Source organism: Homo sapiens, chromosome 11 (genome assembly GCF_000001405.40).
Source record: "Homo sapiens chromosome 11, GRCh38.p14 Primary Assembly".
NCBI lineage: Eukaryota > Metazoa > Chordata > Mammalia > Primates > Hominidae > Homo > Homo sapiens.
Window position 1 is genome coordinate 70202680 of NC_000011.10, and position 15658 is coordinate 70218337.

General features: G+C 50.7%; 1 protein-coding gene and 1 long non-coding RNA gene across 2 annotated transcripts, besides 5 other annotated features; one reads left to right on the plus strand and one right to left on the minus strand.

Moving 5' to 3' along the window:
• FADD (Fas associated via death domain) lies at nucleotides 617-4711 on the plus strand. The gene is made up of 2 exons (NM_003824.4): nucleotides 617-1066; nucleotides 3454-4711. Exons 1-2 carry the CDS (start codon nucleotides 781-783, stop codon nucleotides 3792-3794), a joined length of 627 nt encoding a protein of 208 aa, NP_003815.1. The 5' UTR covers nucleotides 617-780; the 3' UTR covers nucleotides 3795-4711.
• Nucleotides 1027-1106: a silencer, noted in NCBI's record as "silent region_3699". NCBI's record gives its function as "represses an Ori minimal core promoter by ATAC-STARR-seq in GM12878 lymphoblastoid cells {active_cell/tissue: GM12878}" and the evidence as "EXISTENCE:reporter gene assay evidence [ECO:0000049][PMID:35858748]".
• Nucleotides 1156-1347: a silencer, noted in NCBI's record as "fragment chr11:70049941-70050132 (GRCh37/hg19 assembly coordinates)". NCBI's record gives its function as "represses an EF-1alpha promoter that drives an FKBP-Casp9 reporter gene in an ReSE screen in K562 erythroleukemia cells {active_cell/tissue: K562}" and the evidence as "EXISTENCE:reporter gene assay evidence [ECO:0000049][PMID:32094911]".
• LOC124902705 (uncharacterized) lies at nucleotides 5831-9793 on the minus strand. The gene is made up of 3 exons (XR_007062761.1): nucleotides 9610-9793; nucleotides 6471-6578; nucleotides 5831-5898 (listed from the first exon to the last, which is right to left on the minus strand). It is a non-coding gene; the product is annotated as an uncharacterized LOC124902705 (long non-coding RNA).
• Nucleotides 10120-10929: an enhancer, noted in NCBI's record as "H3K27ac-H3K4me1 hESC enhancer chr11:70058905-70059714 (GRCh37/hg19 assembly coordinates)". NCBI's record gives its function as "activates a minimal SCP1, AML or CMV promoter by ChIP-STARR-seq in naive H9 embryonic stem cells {active_cell/tissue: H9 hESC(naive)}" and the evidence as "EXISTENCE:reporter gene assay evidence [ECO:0000049][PMID:30033119]".
• Nucleotides 10930-11739: an enhancer, noted in NCBI's record as "OCT4-NANOG-H3K27ac-H3K4me1 hESC enhancer chr11:70059715-70060524 (GRCh37/hg19 assembly coordinates)". NCBI's record gives its function as "activates a minimal SCP1, AML or CMV promoter by ChIP-STARR-seq in primed H9 embryonic stem cells {active_cell/tissue: H9 hESC(primed)}" and the evidence as "EXISTENCE:reporter gene assay evidence [ECO:0000049][PMID:30033119]".
• Nucleotides 11740-12547: an enhancer, noted in NCBI's record as "OCT4-NANOG-H3K27ac-H3K4me1 hESC enhancer chr11:70060525-70061332 (GRCh37/hg19 assembly coordinates)". NCBI's record gives its function as "activates a minimal SCP1, AML or CMV promoter by ChIP-STARR-seq in primed H9 embryonic stem cells {active_cell/tissue: H9 hESC(primed)}" and the evidence as "EXISTENCE:reporter gene assay evidence [ECO:0000049][PMID:30033119]".

Sequence of the window (15658 nt, forward strand, 5' to 3'; positions counted from 1 at the left end):
TCTTCTGGAGCGTGTCGCTTTTGTAATTATGATGTAAACTCCGGGCACGCGGGGACCCTCGCGCTTCGCTCACTAATTTGTCCCCAGACCCTACTACCTGGCACAGTAGGCGCTCAATACTGTTGATTGAATAAACGACTGCTACTTTGGAAATCATGTATTATTTAAATCACATGTTTAAACGCACATAAACTTCTGAGTAGTGTTTTCTGCACACACAAGATGTCTCCAGGGGCACCAAAGAATGCATTTTCCACGTTTGTCCCTAAACGTTAATGCATAAGTAACCTTGGTCACCAACAGATGTGAGGGCACGTGACGTTCGGGCTGCGCCCTCCCCGCCCCGGCCCTGCACACAGTAGGGCCGCACCGCGCTTTGCAAACAGGTGGACTCGGCAGAGGCGCGACCGCCCTCACCGCAGAGAGCTGGGCCACCTGCAGGCTCTCAGGACACCCAAGGCCCCACCTCCCACCCGGAAAAGAGACGATACGCCGGGCGCAGGCGCAGAAGCCGCGCCCGTCCGCGGCGCCGCCAGCCAGGGCGGAAACGGCTGCGGCTTCGCTAGGGACGCATGCGCGGGTCCCTTAGTTTTCGCGAGATAACGGTCGAAAACGCGCTCTTGTCGATTTCCTGTAGTGAATCAGGCACCGGAGTGCAGGTTCGGGGGTGGAATCCTTGGGCCGCTGGGCAAGCGGCGAGACCTGGCCAGGGCCAGCGAGCCGAGGACAGAGGGCGCACGGAGGGCCGGGCCGCAGCCCCGGCCGCTTGCAGACCCCGCCATGGACCCGTTCCTGGTGCTGCTGCACTCGGTGTCGTCCAGCCTGTCGAGCAGCGAGCTGACCGAGCTCAAGTTCCTATGCCTCGGGCGCGTGGGCAAGCGCAAGCTGGAGCGCGTGCAGAGCGGCCTAGACCTCTTCTCCATGCTGCTGGAGCAGAACGACCTGGAGCCCGGGCACACCGAGCTCCTGCGCGAGCTGCTCGCCTCCCTGCGGCGCCACGACCTGCTGCGGCGCGTCGACGACTTCGAGGCGGGGGCGGCGGCCGGGGCCGCGCCTGGGGAAGAAGGTGGGCGCGGGGCCGGGCCGGGGGAGCCAGGGCCTGGTCGCCCGGCTGTAGGTGCTGCGAGGCTCCTCCGGTTGGCCTCCAGGCGCCTCCCCTTTGCCGGGTTTGATTTGCGTGGGTTTTCTCCGTACAGCCCTGGTTTTGCAGATGGGAGAGCCAGAAACGCAGAAAAGTTAACTTATTCGAGGTTGCAGGGCGTGGACACGCACAGTCCTTTTTCCTCCACCCACTTCTGCCCGGGTAAATTAGAAAACTCACTGAAGAAAAGATGAGTCAGAGAAGGTGTGGGGGAGGGGCAGAGGTTGGGTGAGCCTGCCTCGCATCATTTCCTTTCTGTCTCGGAATATGCTTTTCACGGCTGTCTGAGAGTAATACTAGCATTCAGTAACTCCTACCCAGGGGCTTACAGTGTGCCGCTTACCCTTGTAACTGCCAAATACAATTTTCGCAGTAGCCCTGTGGCTTAGATACTGTTAGCTATCACTGTTCCCATTTTACAGAGGACAGGACTGTGGCTCACAGGTTAAGTGGCTTTGTCGAAATGCGCAGCCGATAACTGACGGAGCTAGGCTTGAGCCAAGCAGTCCGGCCTCCGGATGGGTAGTGTTAGCCACTACACTGCCTCTCTGGTCAAGTTCATTGTGGAGTGGCTTCCTGTCCTGCTCTCGGTCACTCCCTCTCCACCCTCGCCTGTGGATTGCAGCAGCTTCCAGGATAAAAAAGAAACCCTGAGTACAGCAGAGTTTCTCAGCCCTACCCCCCTTGTTCTCAGAGTCGGGAGAGGCTTGGGAGTGCTCTGGGGACGCCTCTCAGAGGCTTCAAGCTGTAGCTTGGAATCAGCCATTCAGTCACCAATCAGATAGGGCCTAAATGTGTCACCATGGGTTTCACTCTGTAAAGACTGGTGCCTGTTGGGGACAGGATGGACAGAACAGCTCTCTGCCTGAGAGCAGTCAAGTCCAGATTTTAAAAAAAATCAGTACTGAACAAACAAAACAGGACGTAGAAAAATCGGGTTTTATGGATATTTAATGTCTGGAAAAACACTGATAAATTGCATTTTAAAGGCGGTCTACGAAACATAGCTGACATTTGAGATGTATGTGTGCTTGGTTTTATTTATATCGTCATGTAGTTACTGTGTGCTGGGAAAAGTACACCAGAAGGTGAGCGGTGGGTATGGACAGGTTGGTAGCGGGCGACTCTGCCTTCCTCCCCAGAAGTTCAGCATAGCGGTTAAGGGTCGACTCTGGCACCACACTCTTAGGGTTTCAGAACATGGCTCTGCCATCGTCTAGCTACACGATCTCAGGAATGTCCATTAGCTTCCCTGTGCCTCAATTTCCTCATCTGTACAGTCATGGTAACACAGTGCCCAGCCCACAGGGCTGTCAGAGCTGCGGGAGCTGGTACACCTGCCAACGGTGTCTCAGAATTGCCAGTAGTCCAAGCAGCACCCTGTCCTGCCTCTCCTTTCCTCTCTTCACATTCCAGAAGCGGCCTTTTATGGTCTTGTGACCAGCTCCCTGATCTCAGTGGTGACGTCAGCAGATGAGGAGTATGGTAGCCAGGGACTGAAGACTGGTGGTCACTCGGGGCAGCTTTCTAAATAACAATTGGAGTGCCTACTAGTTTCCTGTGATTGCCATAACAAATGATCACAAATCTGGTGGCCTGAAGCAATAGAAATCTACCCCCTCAATCTGGAGGCCAGAAATCTGAATAAGCAGGGTGCCACAGACCGGCACACCCTCGGAATGCTGTTGGGGAGGCTCCTTCCGGGTCTCGTCCGCTTTGTGGTGGCTCCAGGCATTCTTTGACTTGTGGCCGCTTCACTCCAGGCTCACACGGCCTTCCCTGTGTGTCTCCTGCAAGGATACCTATCATTGGTGCATCCAGGTCATCCAGGATGATCTCCTCTCAAGACCCTCAGCTTACCTTTGCAAAGATGCTTTTTCCAAAGAACATTCATGGTTTCAGCAATTTCACGTGAACATACCTTGGGGTGACATCGTTCAGCCTGCTGTAGGGCAGGATGTGGGATCAACCCTATTTTCTTCCCTCCCACAACTCCCCAGCCCCTCCCTCAGTGTCTCCTGCTCTAAGTAGGTAGCTCCACTACAACTTCCTTTGGCACTTGAGTCTTCAGTGGGCCACGCCTCCTAGGACAGTATTAGAGAGCAGGGGGTTTGGCTGAGGTGGAATCAGGCCACTCTTGGGCATTTGGTGCAGCCCCTTTGCTGCCAGGCGACTCTAGCCTCTACAGAGGACCTCGTGTAGGCACCTCTGTCCACTCAGCACTTGGCGTCTGTGCTGAAAAGCCCTAGGGAGGATTGTGGGGTCGCTTGTCTCCAAACCTATGGTAAACCGTTCTGTTCTTTCCTTCCCAGACCTGTGTGCAGCATTTAACGTCATATGTGATAATGTGGGGAAAGATTGGAGAAGGCTGGCTCGTCAGCTCAAAGTCTCAGACACCAAGATCGACAGCATCGAGGACAGATACCCCCGCAACCTGACAGAGCGTGTGCGGGAGTCACTGAGAATCTGGAAGAACACAGAGAAGGAGAACGCAACAGTGGCCCACCTGGTGGGGGCTCTCAGGTCCTGCCAGATGAACCTGGTGGCTGACCTGGTACAAGAGGTTCAGCAGGCCCGTGACCTCCAGAACAGGAGTGGGGCCATGTCCCCGATGTCATGGAACTCAGACGCATCTACCTCCGAAGCGTCCTGATGGGCCGCTGCTTTGCGCTGGTGGACCACAGGCATCTACACAGCCTGGACTTTGGTTCTCTCCAGGAAGGTAGCCCAGCACTGTGAAGACCCAGCAGGAAGCCAGGCTGAGTGAGCCACAGACCACCTGCTTCTGAACTCAAGCTGCGTTTATTAATGCCTCTCCCGCACCAGGCCGGGCTTGGGCCCTGCACAGATATTTCCATTTCTTCCTCACTATGACACTGAGCAAGATCTTGTCTCCACTAAATGAGCTCCTGCGGGAGTAGTTGGAAAGTTGGAACCGTGTCCAGCACAGAAGGAATCTGTGCAGATGAGCAGTCACACTGTTACTCCACAGCGGAGGAGACCAGCTCAGAGGCCCAGGAATCGGAGCGAAGCAGAGAGGTGGAGAACTGGGATTTGAACCCCCGCCATCCTTCACCAGAGCCCATGCTCAACCACTGTGGCGTTCTGCTGCCCCTGCAGTTGGCAGAAAGGATGTTTTGTCCCATTTCCTTGGAGGCCACCGGGACAGACCTGGACACTAGGGTCAGGCGGGGTGCTGTGGTGGGGAGAGGCATGGCTGGGGTGGGGGTGGGGAGACCTGGTTGGCCGTGGTCCAGCTCTTGGCCCCTGTGTGAGTTGAGTCTCCTCTCTGAGACTGCTAAGTAGGGGCAGTGATGGTTGCCAGGACGAATTGAGATAATATCTGTGAGGTGCTGATGAGTGATTGACACACAGCACTCTCTAAATCTTCCTTGTGAGGATTATGGGTCCTGCAATTCTACAGTTTCTTACTGTTTTGTATCAAAATCACTATCTTTCTGATAACAGAATTGCCAAGGCAGCGGGATCTCGTATCTTTAAAAAGCAGTCCTCTTATTCCTAAGGTAATCCTATTAAAACACAGCTTTACAACTTCCATACTACAAAAAATTTTCTATTCCTGTTGGTGGTTCTTTCATTTTGGATATGCTGGATATTCCCAGTACAGCCAGTTTGAGGATCCCTGTCAAGGGCTCCAACCTGGGAGGGGTGGCTGGATTTCCTGACAGCTCGCTAGCTGCTCATGAGCAGTGTCTGCCCTTAGCAAACAGTGGTCTGCTAGGGTAGCTTTTGCCGCTCTTAGAATTTGCCTGCACCACCAACAGTATCAGAATCAAAGCCAAGTGGCTATTCTCTGTCCCAGTTCACCAGCTATGACCTTGGGAAAGTCCAGTGTGCCGTCCCATAGGTGGGATCTTAGCCAAGGCCGCAGGACACTGTCCCCAGTAAGCCGTGGACCCCGGCCTTTAAGCCCCTCCACACCTTCACCTGACGCTTCCAGGTGCCAGACTCCTTGCTAGGAGCAAAGGCCATAGGAGTGAATGGGACAGAAGTGTAGCCCTGCCCTGTTGGCCTCAGAAACCTAGCAGAAACAAGCTTTAACCAGTTCATCACTAGCTTGGGGTGCTGCCGTGGCGCTGAGCTGGTTGCTATCCCAAAACAGCGTGGCCTGACCTACACACTGTACACCCCCGACCCGGCGCATGCCTGCTCTCAAGGCGCAGGTCAGGGTGAGTTCTATAGAGAATAGACACATCGCCCCTCACTGTCCCTAAGTGTGAGCAGCTTGGCTTTGGGGAAGAGATTTTCTTGGGGTGCGTGGGAAAGTATTCTTTTTTTTTTTTTTTTTTGAGATGGAGTCTCACTCTGTTGCCCAGGCTGGAGTACAGTGGCATGATCTCGGCTCACTGCGACTTCCACCTCCCAGGTTGAAAGGATTCTCCTGCCTCAGCCTCCCAAGTAGCTGCGACTACAGATGTGCACTACCAAGCCTGGCTAGTTTTTTGTAGTTTTAGTAGAGACAGGGTTTTACCATCTTGGCCCGGCTGATCTGGAACTCCTGACCTCAGGTGATCCACCTGCCTCGGCCTCCCAAAGTGCTGGGATTACATAGGCGTGAGCCACCGCGCCCGGCCTTGGACATGGATTTCTTAAAGCAACTTGAAAAAACAAATTCTATGTTCATTTTTTTTACAATCAGGTAGAATTTGTGTTTCTGGAAAAGGTACGCACAAATCTTGGGCTTACTTGAAAGCTGGAGGTAACAGCCGTCTCTTGCTCTCTGACTCCTTTTTCCCCTAAGACAGAAGAGGGAAGACAAGTCCAAACGTCTGTGCTTTGCGGGAGACTTCAGGGGAATTTGATCAAGCGTTTCCTGGAACAAAGGGTCAACCCTCTGGTCTTCAGGTTCCCGCAGCCTCCCAGCTGCCTGCCCTTCTGCCTTCTGTTACACAGTGCCCCCTCCACGCCACACTCACACTCGCTCCCAGATTCTCACAGCCACCCCTCTCCAGGACTCACTCCCTGGTGCTCCTGAGACCACACCCCACACAAACTATTCTTGCTGAAGTCACAGGCTGCTGCAGCATTTTTGTTCTACCTGAATCTCTAGGGCCTCTGACACCTTCCGTGACCATTCTCTCCAGGAGCTCTTCTCCCTCTCCGCTGTCCTCCTCTCAGGTCCCTCACACCCTCCCCCAGCCTCAGCCTCACCCCTCCTCTAGGGAGCACAGCCCTTTCTTAGCCTCACCCATCCTAGGTCCCTGGTACCTGCCAGGTATCTCTAGCCCAGATCTTTCTCTTGCCCCAGACCCCAACTGCCTAGGGGCAGCCTCACAGTGGCTGCTATAGCAAACTACCACGTACTTACCGCCTTAAGCGGCACAAGTTTATCTTATGGTTCTGGAGGTCAGAGGTCCAAAATGTCTCTCCCTGGTCTACAAATCAGGTGTCAGCAAGCTGGTTCCTCCCGGAAGACCTAGAAGAGAATCCGTGTCTTGCCTTTTGCATCTTCTAGAGGCTGCCTGCATTCTTTAACTCATGGCCCCTCCCTCCATCTTCAGGCCCACAGATGAGCATCTTCCCATCTCTCTGACTGATTCTCCTGCCTCCCTCTTACAAAAACTCTAGTGACTACACTGGGCCACCTGGATAACCCAGGATCCTCTTCCCATCTCAACATCAATTTAAACACATCTGCAGAATTTCTTTGCCAGGTAGGGGAACATATTCACAGATCCCAGGGATTAGCACATGGGCACTGTCAGAGTCATGCAAGCCACACCCCAAATTCAGCCTCCCTGCAACCTGCGCCCCGTTCCGTGCCTGACACCACCATCTAGTCAGTAGCCCAAGCCACAAACCCTCCTTCCTCTCCCCACTGTCACTCTTCCCTCAATTAAAACTGGGCGCTAGGCCAGGTGCAGTGGCTCTCATCTGTAATCCCTGCACTTTGGGAGGCTGAGGTGGGAGGATTACTTGAACCCAGGAGTTTGAGGCCAGCCTCGCCAACATAGGGAAACCTCATCTCTAAAAAAAATAAAAATAAAAAAAATGTAGCTGGATGTGGTTGTGTACACCTGTGCTCCCAGCTACTCGGGAGACTGAGGCAAGAGGATTGCTTGAGCCCAGGAGGATGAGGCTGCGGTGAGCCATGATCACACCACTGCAATCCAGCCTGGGTAACAGAGCAAGACCCTGTCTCAAAAAAAAATAAAAGTAAGCACCAGGTCCTATACTTTGTAACTCACAAGTGTCTCTCCCATCCACCTCTTCTGCTACCTGCCGCCACCCCCACTCCCAGTGGGGCCTCAGCCCTTTCCACTGGACAACCACAGTGAGTGACCTCGCAATTCATCTTCCGCCTCTGCCCCGCCTTCCACCCATCCAGCCCATCTCCCATCAGCAGCCAGAAATAAACTGAGTCATAACACAGTCCCCTGACTCTTCTTAGAAGCCACGAACTCTGTCCATATTTTTTTGTTTTATATTTTTATTCCCGTGATAATTAATCTGAGTCATCTTGCTGACTGCTTTCTAGCCACACAAATCCTGTGTGAATTGCATTTGGAATCAGACAGGCAAACATGACGTGGGGTAGCATGTGCTCATGCCAGAGTGACCCGTCCCCCAGTGTCTGCTGAGATAAAGGCAAGACTTCTCTTTTACAGGGAAATTTGCAATTGAAAGATACTTCCATCAAAGAAGCTCTTAGTTTCTTGAATCATTTACTAAGTTGAGACCCCGTGGCAAGAATCATGGATGCCAACCCCAGTAATGGTCACCAAGGAACAGAGGCCAATTCAATGCATGAATGGGGTCCTCATGGAAAGCCAAATGACATATGATTTAAGTTTTTGAGGTGTGGCTCAAATAGAAAAAGAATATCGTGGACCATTTGAGTCACCCCCAGGCACATGGCAAGTACAAGGCCTTCCAAACTCCCACGCCTCCTTGATGACAGTCTGTAGACATGAAGCTACAATTTTGTTTCAGCAAAACAGCATCATACATACTGTTTAATGATTAAACAGAATGCACTTCTGTTTGGAATGAATTAAAAATGCTGAGCCCGGCACAGTCGTTCACGCCTGTAATCTCAGCACTTTGGGAGGCTGAGGTGGGAGATCTCTTGAAGCCAAGAGTTCAAAAGCCTGGGCTGCAAAGCAAGACTCCATCTCTAAAATATAATAATAATAATAAATAAATTAGGCCGGTGTGGTGGCTCATGCCTGTAATCTGAGCATTTTGGGAGGCCAAGGCGTGCAGATCACATGAGGTCACTAGTTCAAGAACAGCCTGGCCAACATGGTGAAATCCCATCTCTACTAAAAATACAAAATTAGCTAGGTGTGTTGGTACATGCCTGTAGACCCAGCTAATCAGGAGGTTGGGGCAGAAGAATTGCTTGAACCTGGGATGGGGAGGTTGCAGTGAGCTGAGAACACGCCACTGCACTCCAGCCTGGGCAACAGAACAAAACTCTTTCTCAAAATAAAATTTAAAAAAAATAAAATAAATTAGCTGGCCACAGTGGTATATTCCTGTAGTTCCAGCTACTTGGGAGGCAGGAGGATCACTAGAGCCCAGGAGTTCAGGGCTATAGTGAGCCATCGTTGCGCCACTGCACTCCAGCCTGGGCAGCAGAGCAAGACCCTGTCTCAAAAAACAGAGGAAAGAAAAGAAAGGAAAAAATAGTAATCATACCTGACGTTAAATATGTTATTAATCTGAATTCTACGAGTTTTGTAGGCTTCTCTCTCCCCAATTTGCAATTTTATTGGCGATTTATAGTTTCCAAGGGCTAGACACATGGGCTTCTATTCCACATCTGGCTATATATTTGTGCCTATTGATGTTTCATTATTGAAATGAAAACCTGGTCATCATGGGAGTCTGGGCAATGTTTTACTACTTCCAAATCAGTTTCTGGCTGGAGAACCCCAGCTACAATGTCCCCATGTCCCTCAGGATGAAATCTTTTTTTTTTTTGAGGTGGAGTCTCGCTCAGTCGCCCAGGCTGGAGTGCAGTGGCGTGATCTCAGCTCACTACAAGCTCCGCCTCCCGGGTTCACAGCATTCTCCTGCCTCAGCCTCCCGAGTAGCTGGGACTACAGGCATCCGCCACCACACCCGGCTAATTTTTTGTATTTTTAGTAGAGACGGGTTTTCACCATGTTAGCCAGGATGGTCTCGATCTCCTGACCTCATGATCCACCCACCTCGGCCTCCCAAAGTGCTGGGATTACAGGAGTGAGCCACCGCGCCTGCCCAGGATGAAATCTTAATCCATGCATCATCATGCATGGGACGGGGTACACAACTGTGCAGAGCCCAGCCCAGTGCCATGTTCCCTCCACAGCAAGACTGTCACCTCACCCCCTCCCACCCTCCCCCGCAGCCCTTGCCCCTGCTGTTTCCTCTCCCTGCAGCCTTCCTCACTATCCACCCCAAGCCCCCCAGCTCAGAAGACATCCTTCTGATGCAGGCTTGCCCATGCACCCACTCACAGTGGGATCCCTGCAGCCCCCACTCCTGCCCGGGTCCTGCTTCCTCTAGCGCGACTCCCTGAGGGCTGCTTCCAGCACTTTCCAGCGGCTTCTGAGTGAAGGCTTATTTTGTGTTTGCTGAGTGAATGAGTAAACAGCAGCGATCAAAGGCCCACTAGCGTCTCTCAGGGGCCTGAGTTCCTTGCAAGCAGGAAAGCAAAAGATGCCTCCGCCCCAGGGTTTCAGATTCCTGGATTCCCCTTCAGCTTTCACTTTTGGTTGGGCTTCCCAGCCCAGTCAGTCGGACTGTGAAAGCACCTGCCCCGCAGTAGGCACGGGCAGGGCAAGAGGGCATCTTCTCAGGGGAGCCAGGTATGCCCCTTGGTCTGCCACCCATGCATCATATGCCCCTGTTCCCTGAGCCTCTGCTCCCCGCCCCTGGTCCACATACCCCCGCCCCGGTGCCCTTCACTCTGACCAGGCCCAGTGAGCTCCAGCCAGGAACCCCAGGGAGGAGTCCCCACCACCTGAGTCACTGCAGGCCATCCCAGGGGTCCTACTCGCCAGGAAGGGTTGACGCCCACGTACACATACACCTCTGGGCTCCTGGCACTCTGAGCTGTATGTTTCATTCTGGTTCATTCACCATTCATTCATTTACTCGGTAGATTCTTAGCAAAGGGCTACCAGCTCAGACCGGGAGTGGCCAGCTCTTCTCCCTCACCAATGCTCCCTCTCCCAGCAATGTTGTAAGGTTCAATGAGATGTGGTGTGGCGAGGTCTGGGGGTGACAGCCCAGGATAAACGTCACTAAATGTCATCATTGTTACTATTCTTAAGGAACTGCCTGTTTTAAAACAAGCAGCCTTAAAATTAAAGTGTAGGTATGGGGCCAGGCACAGTGGCTTACACCTGTAATCCCAGTACTTTGAGATGCCAAGGTCGGCATTTCACCTGAGGTCAGGAATTCAAGACCAGCCTGACCAACATGGTGAAACCCTATCTCTACTAAAAATACAAAAAATGAGCCAAGTGTGGTGGCGGGTACCTGTAATCCCAGCTACTTGGGAGGCTGAGGCAGGAGAATCACTTGAACTTGGGAGGCAGAGGTTGCAGTGAGGCAAGATTATACCACTGCACTCCAGCCAGGGCAATAGAACGAGACTCGGTCTCAAAAAAAAAAAAGGCCAGGCACAGTGGCTCACACCTGTAATCTCAACACTTTGGGAGGCCGAGGCAGGCCAACCACTTGAGGTCAGGAGTTCGAGACTAGCCCAGCCAACATGGTGAAACCCTGTCTCTACTAAAAATACAAAAACTAGCTGGGCATACTGGTGGACACCTGTAATCCCAGCTACTCAGGAGGCTGAGGAAGGAGAATCACTTGAACCTGGGAGGCGGAGGTTGCAGTGAGCCAAGATTGTGCCACTGCACCCCAGCCTGGGTGACACAGCAAGACTCTGTCTCAAAAATAAATAAATAAATAAATAAATAAATAAATAAAAGTGTTGTTATGGTAAATAAATAAATAAATAATAAAACAAACCCTGTGGCGGCAAGAAATACCAGATTTAATAAGGTAGATCTAATAGACTGAACTCTACTACTAAGAGGCATTGCGTGGCCAGGAGGCTGGCCTCAAGCCGCCACCTGGTTTTGAGTCTCAGCTCTTCTACTTAGTTTCACTTGCGTCCATGTAAAGAGACCACTAAACAGGCTTTGTGTGAGCAATAAAGCTGTTTATTTCACCTGGGTGCAGGCGAGCTGAGTCCGAAAAGAGAGTCAGCGAAGGGAGATAGGAGTGGGGCCTTTTTATAAGATTTGGGTAGGTAAAGGAAAATTACAGTCAAAGGGGGGTTGTTCTCTGGCGGGCAGGAGTGGGGGTCACAAGGTACTCAGTGGGGGAGCTTTTGAGCCAGGATGAGCCAGGAGAAGGAATTTCACAAGACAATGTCATCAGTTAAGGCAGGAACAGGCCATTTTCACTTCTTTTGTGGTGGAATGTCATCAGTTAAGGCAGGAACCGGCCATCTGGATGTGTACGTGCAGGTCACAGGGGATATGATGGCTTAGCTGGGGCTTAGAGGCCTGACATTCCTGTCTTTTTTTTTTTTTTTTTTTTGAGACGGAGTCTCGCTCTTTCGCCCAGGCTGGAGTGCAGTGGCGCTATCTTGGCTCACTGCAAGCTCCGCCTCCCGGGTTCACGCCATTCTCCTGCCTCAGCCTCCCAAGTAGCTGGGACTATAGGCGCCCGCCACGGCGCCCAGCTAATTTTTTGTATTTTCAGTAGAAACGGGGTTTCACCGTGTTAGCCAGGATGGTCTCGATCTCCGGACCTCGTGATCCGCCCGCCTCGGCCTCCCAGAGTGCTGGGATTACAGGCGTGAGCCACCGTGCCCGGCCTCTGTCTTCTTATATTAATAAGAAAAATAAAACGAAAGAGTGGTAAAGTGTTGGGATGGTGAAAATTTTTTGGGGATGGCATGGAGAGATAATGGGTGATGTTTCTTAGGGCTGCTTCAAGTGGGATTAGGGGCAGCGTGGGAACCTAGAATGGGAGAAATTAAGCTGAAGGAAGATTTTGTGGTAAGGGGTGATATTGTGGGGTTGTTAGAAGAAACATTTGTCGTGTAGAATTATTGGTGACGGCCTGGATATGGTTTTGTATGAATTGAAAAACTAAATGGAATAAGAGAAGGAGAAAAACGGGTATAAAAGGTCTAAGAATTGGGAGGACCTAGGACATCTGATTAGAGAGTGCCTAAGGAGATTCAGCATAGTCCGGTCAGCAAAGATTCTTTATTTACTTCAAGAGTTAAGAGTGGCAGTTTGGGGATAGCACCAGGAGATATCAGCTGTGATGGCTTGGAGAAACAGTGTAAACCGGCAGTGTAAACAAGAGCAGGGCATGTATGAGTAGTTGAGAACGGTGAATAGGAGTATGACTAGACAGAAGATAGTAGGGATGACAAGTTTTTTGGGGGCACGGTCTAAGTTGGTCTGGTGTCTGGAATAAGACTGGGGCCTAATAAAAAGGAGTGTCTCTACAGGAGCTCAAATGGGCTGCACCTTGTAGTATTCTGAGGACAGGTCTGACTTCTGAGAAGGGAAAGTGGTAAAAGTATTGTCCAGTCCTTTTTAAGTTGGTGGCTGAGCTTGGTGAGGTGTGTTTTTAAGACTATTAGTCTGTTCTACTTTTTCTGAAGACTGAGGACTGTAAGGGATATAAAGGTTTCACTGAATACTAAGAGCCTGAAAAAATGCTTGGCTGATTTGGCTAATAAAGGTGGGTCTGCTATCGGACTGTATAGAGGTGGGAAGTCCAAACTGAGGAATTATGTCTGACAGAAGGGAAGAAATGACCGCAGTGGCTTTCTCAGACCTTGTAGGAAAGGCCTTTACTTATTCAGTGAAAGTGTCTACTTAGACTAAGAGGTATTTTAGTTTCTTGACTCGGGGCATGTTGAGTAAAGCTAATTTGTCAGTCCTGGGTGGGGGCAAATCCTTGAGCTTGATGTGTAGGGAAGGGAGGGGGCCTGAATAATCCTTGAGGAGTAGTAGACTAGCAGATGGAACGCTGAGAAGTTATTTCCTTGAGGATAGATTTCTACGATGGAAAGGAAATGAGAGGTTCTAAAAGGCAGGCTAGTGGCTTGTACTATAGCATAGCCTGTCTTTGCTGGTGTGTGGCGAGTAGGCCTGGTGGAACTGCCATCAATAAACTAAGTGTGATCAGGGTGAGAAACAGGGAAGAAGGAAATGTGGGGAAATGAGGTGAACATCAGCTGGATCAGAGAGATGAAGGAGCCGGGGAGCAGAAAGTATATGCATCAGGTGTGAGGAAGAAAATAGATTTTGGAAATTATGAGAGCTGTAGAGAGTGAGTTGAGCATAGTTTGTGATTTTAAGGGCCTCTGAAAGTATTAGGGTCAGTAGCCACTGCACAGAGACATGATGGCCAGCCTAAAACAGTAAGGTCAAGTTGTTTGGGCAAAAAGGCTACAGGACGCGATCCTGGTCCTTGTGTAAGAATTCCAACTGCACAGCCCTGCACTTTGGCTGTGTGTAATGCAAAGGGTTGGGATGAGTCAGGGAGAGCTCAGGTGGGGGCAGTCTCTAAAGCTGTCTTCAAGGAACAGAAAAAGGAGTGGGGAAAGGATTTAGGATCTGTGGGGTCAGCTAGGTTTCTTTTTGTGAGTTTATATAATGATTTTGTTAGGATGGCAAAACCAGGTATCTAAAGTTGAAAGTATCTAACCATGCCTAGGTTGTAGAAGGTGTTGGGGTTTGAGAGATCAGTCAGACACGATCGGCAGGGAGAGCGCGTGTGTTTTTATAAGAATTACGCCAAGACAGATAACAGATGAGGAAGAAATTTGGGCTTGACTGAAGTAATGGGGGCTGTCTGTGAAGCCTTGCAGCAGTACAGCCCAGGTAATTTGCTGAGCCTAATGGGTGTCAGGGTCAGTCTAAGTGAAAGCAAAGGGAGGCTGGGATGAAGGGTGCAAAGGAATAGTAAAGAAAGCATGTTTGAGATCCAGAACAGAATAATGGGTTGTAGAGGGAGGTATTGAGGATAGGAGAGTATATGGGTTTGGCACCACGGGGTGGATAGGCAAAACAATTTGGTTGATAAGGCGCAGATTCTGAACTAACCTGTAAGGCTTGTCTGGTTTTAGGACAGGTAAAATGGGGGAATGGTAAGAAGAGTTTATAGGCTTTAAAAGGCCATGCTCTAACAGGCAAGTGATAATAGGCTTTAATCCTTTCAAAGCGTGCTGTGGGATAGGATATTGGCATTGAGCGGGGTAAGAGTGATTAGGTTTTAATGGGATGGTAAGGGGTGCATGATCGGTCGCCAAGGAGGGAGTAGAGGTGTCTTATACTTGTGGGTTACGGTGGGGAGATACAAGGGGAGGATGTGAAGGAGGCTTTGAACTGGGGGAAAAGGTGGCAATGAGGTGTGGATGTAGCCTAGGAATAGTCAGGGAAGCAGATAATTTAGTTAAAGTGTCTCCGCCTAATAAGGGAACTGGGCAGGTGGGGATAACTAAAAAGGAGTGCTTAAAAGAGTATTGTCTAAGTTGGCACCAGAGTTGGGGAGTTTTAAGAGGTTTAGAACCTGGCTGTCAATATTTACAACAGTTATGGAGGCAAGGGAAACAGGCCCTTGAAAAGAAGGTAATGTGGAGTGGGTAGCCTCCGTATTGACTAAGAAGGGGATGGACTTACTTTCCACTGTGAGAGTTACTTAGAGTGTCTGTGATGGTCCTGTAGGCTTCCAAGGCGATCGGCAGTGCCAGTCTTCAGCTGCTAAGCCAAGAAGATCTGGGAAGGAGTCAGACGGCCTTGGGCCAGAGTTCCAGGGGCTCTGGAAGTGGCTGCCAGGTGAGTTGAACAGTCCAATTTTCAGTGGGGTCCTGTACAGATGGGACATGGCTCAGGAGGAATCCTGGGCTGTGGGCACTTGTAGCAAGCTCCTGGGGGAGGAGGTTCTGGAGGAACCCCTGGCAGCTGCGGTTCAGGCGTTTGGAGTTCTTGTGTGCTGGAGATGTGGCTGGGGTTTGTCTCACAGTGGAGGCAAAGAGTTGCAACTCAGAAATATGTTGCTACTTGGCTGCCTCCACTCTATTATTGTACACCTTGAAGGTGAAGTTAATTAAGTCCTGCTGTGGGGTTTGAGGGCCAGAATTTAACTTTTGGAGTTTTATTTAATGTCGGGAGCAGACTGGGTAATAAAATGTATATTGAGAATAAGACGGCTTTTTGACTTTTTAGGGTCTAGGGCTGTAAAGCGTCTCAGGGTTGCCGCCAAACGAGCCATGAACTGGGCTGGGTTTTTCATATTTGATGAAAGAGCCTAAACGCTCACTGATTTGGGAGAGGTCTGATAAAGAAAAATGAGTATTAACCTTGACTATGCGTTTGGCTTCAGCCACCTTTTTAAGAGGAAATAGCTAGGCAGGTGGGGGAGGGCTAGTCATGGAATGAAACTGTAAGCCGGACTGGGTGTGAGGAGGGGAGGTGATAAAAGGATTATACGGTGGAGGAGCAGAGGCTGAGGAAGAAT

Coding starts and splice junctions, on each gene's coding strand:
- FADD (NM_003824.4), top strand. CDS start 781: ATGGACCCGTTCCTGGTGCTGCTGCACTCGGTGTCGTCCAGCCTGTCG. Junction 1,067..3,453: donor GGCCGCGCCTGGGGAAGAAG/GTGGGCGCGGGG, acceptor TTTCCTTCCCAG/ACCTGTGTGCAGCATTTAAC.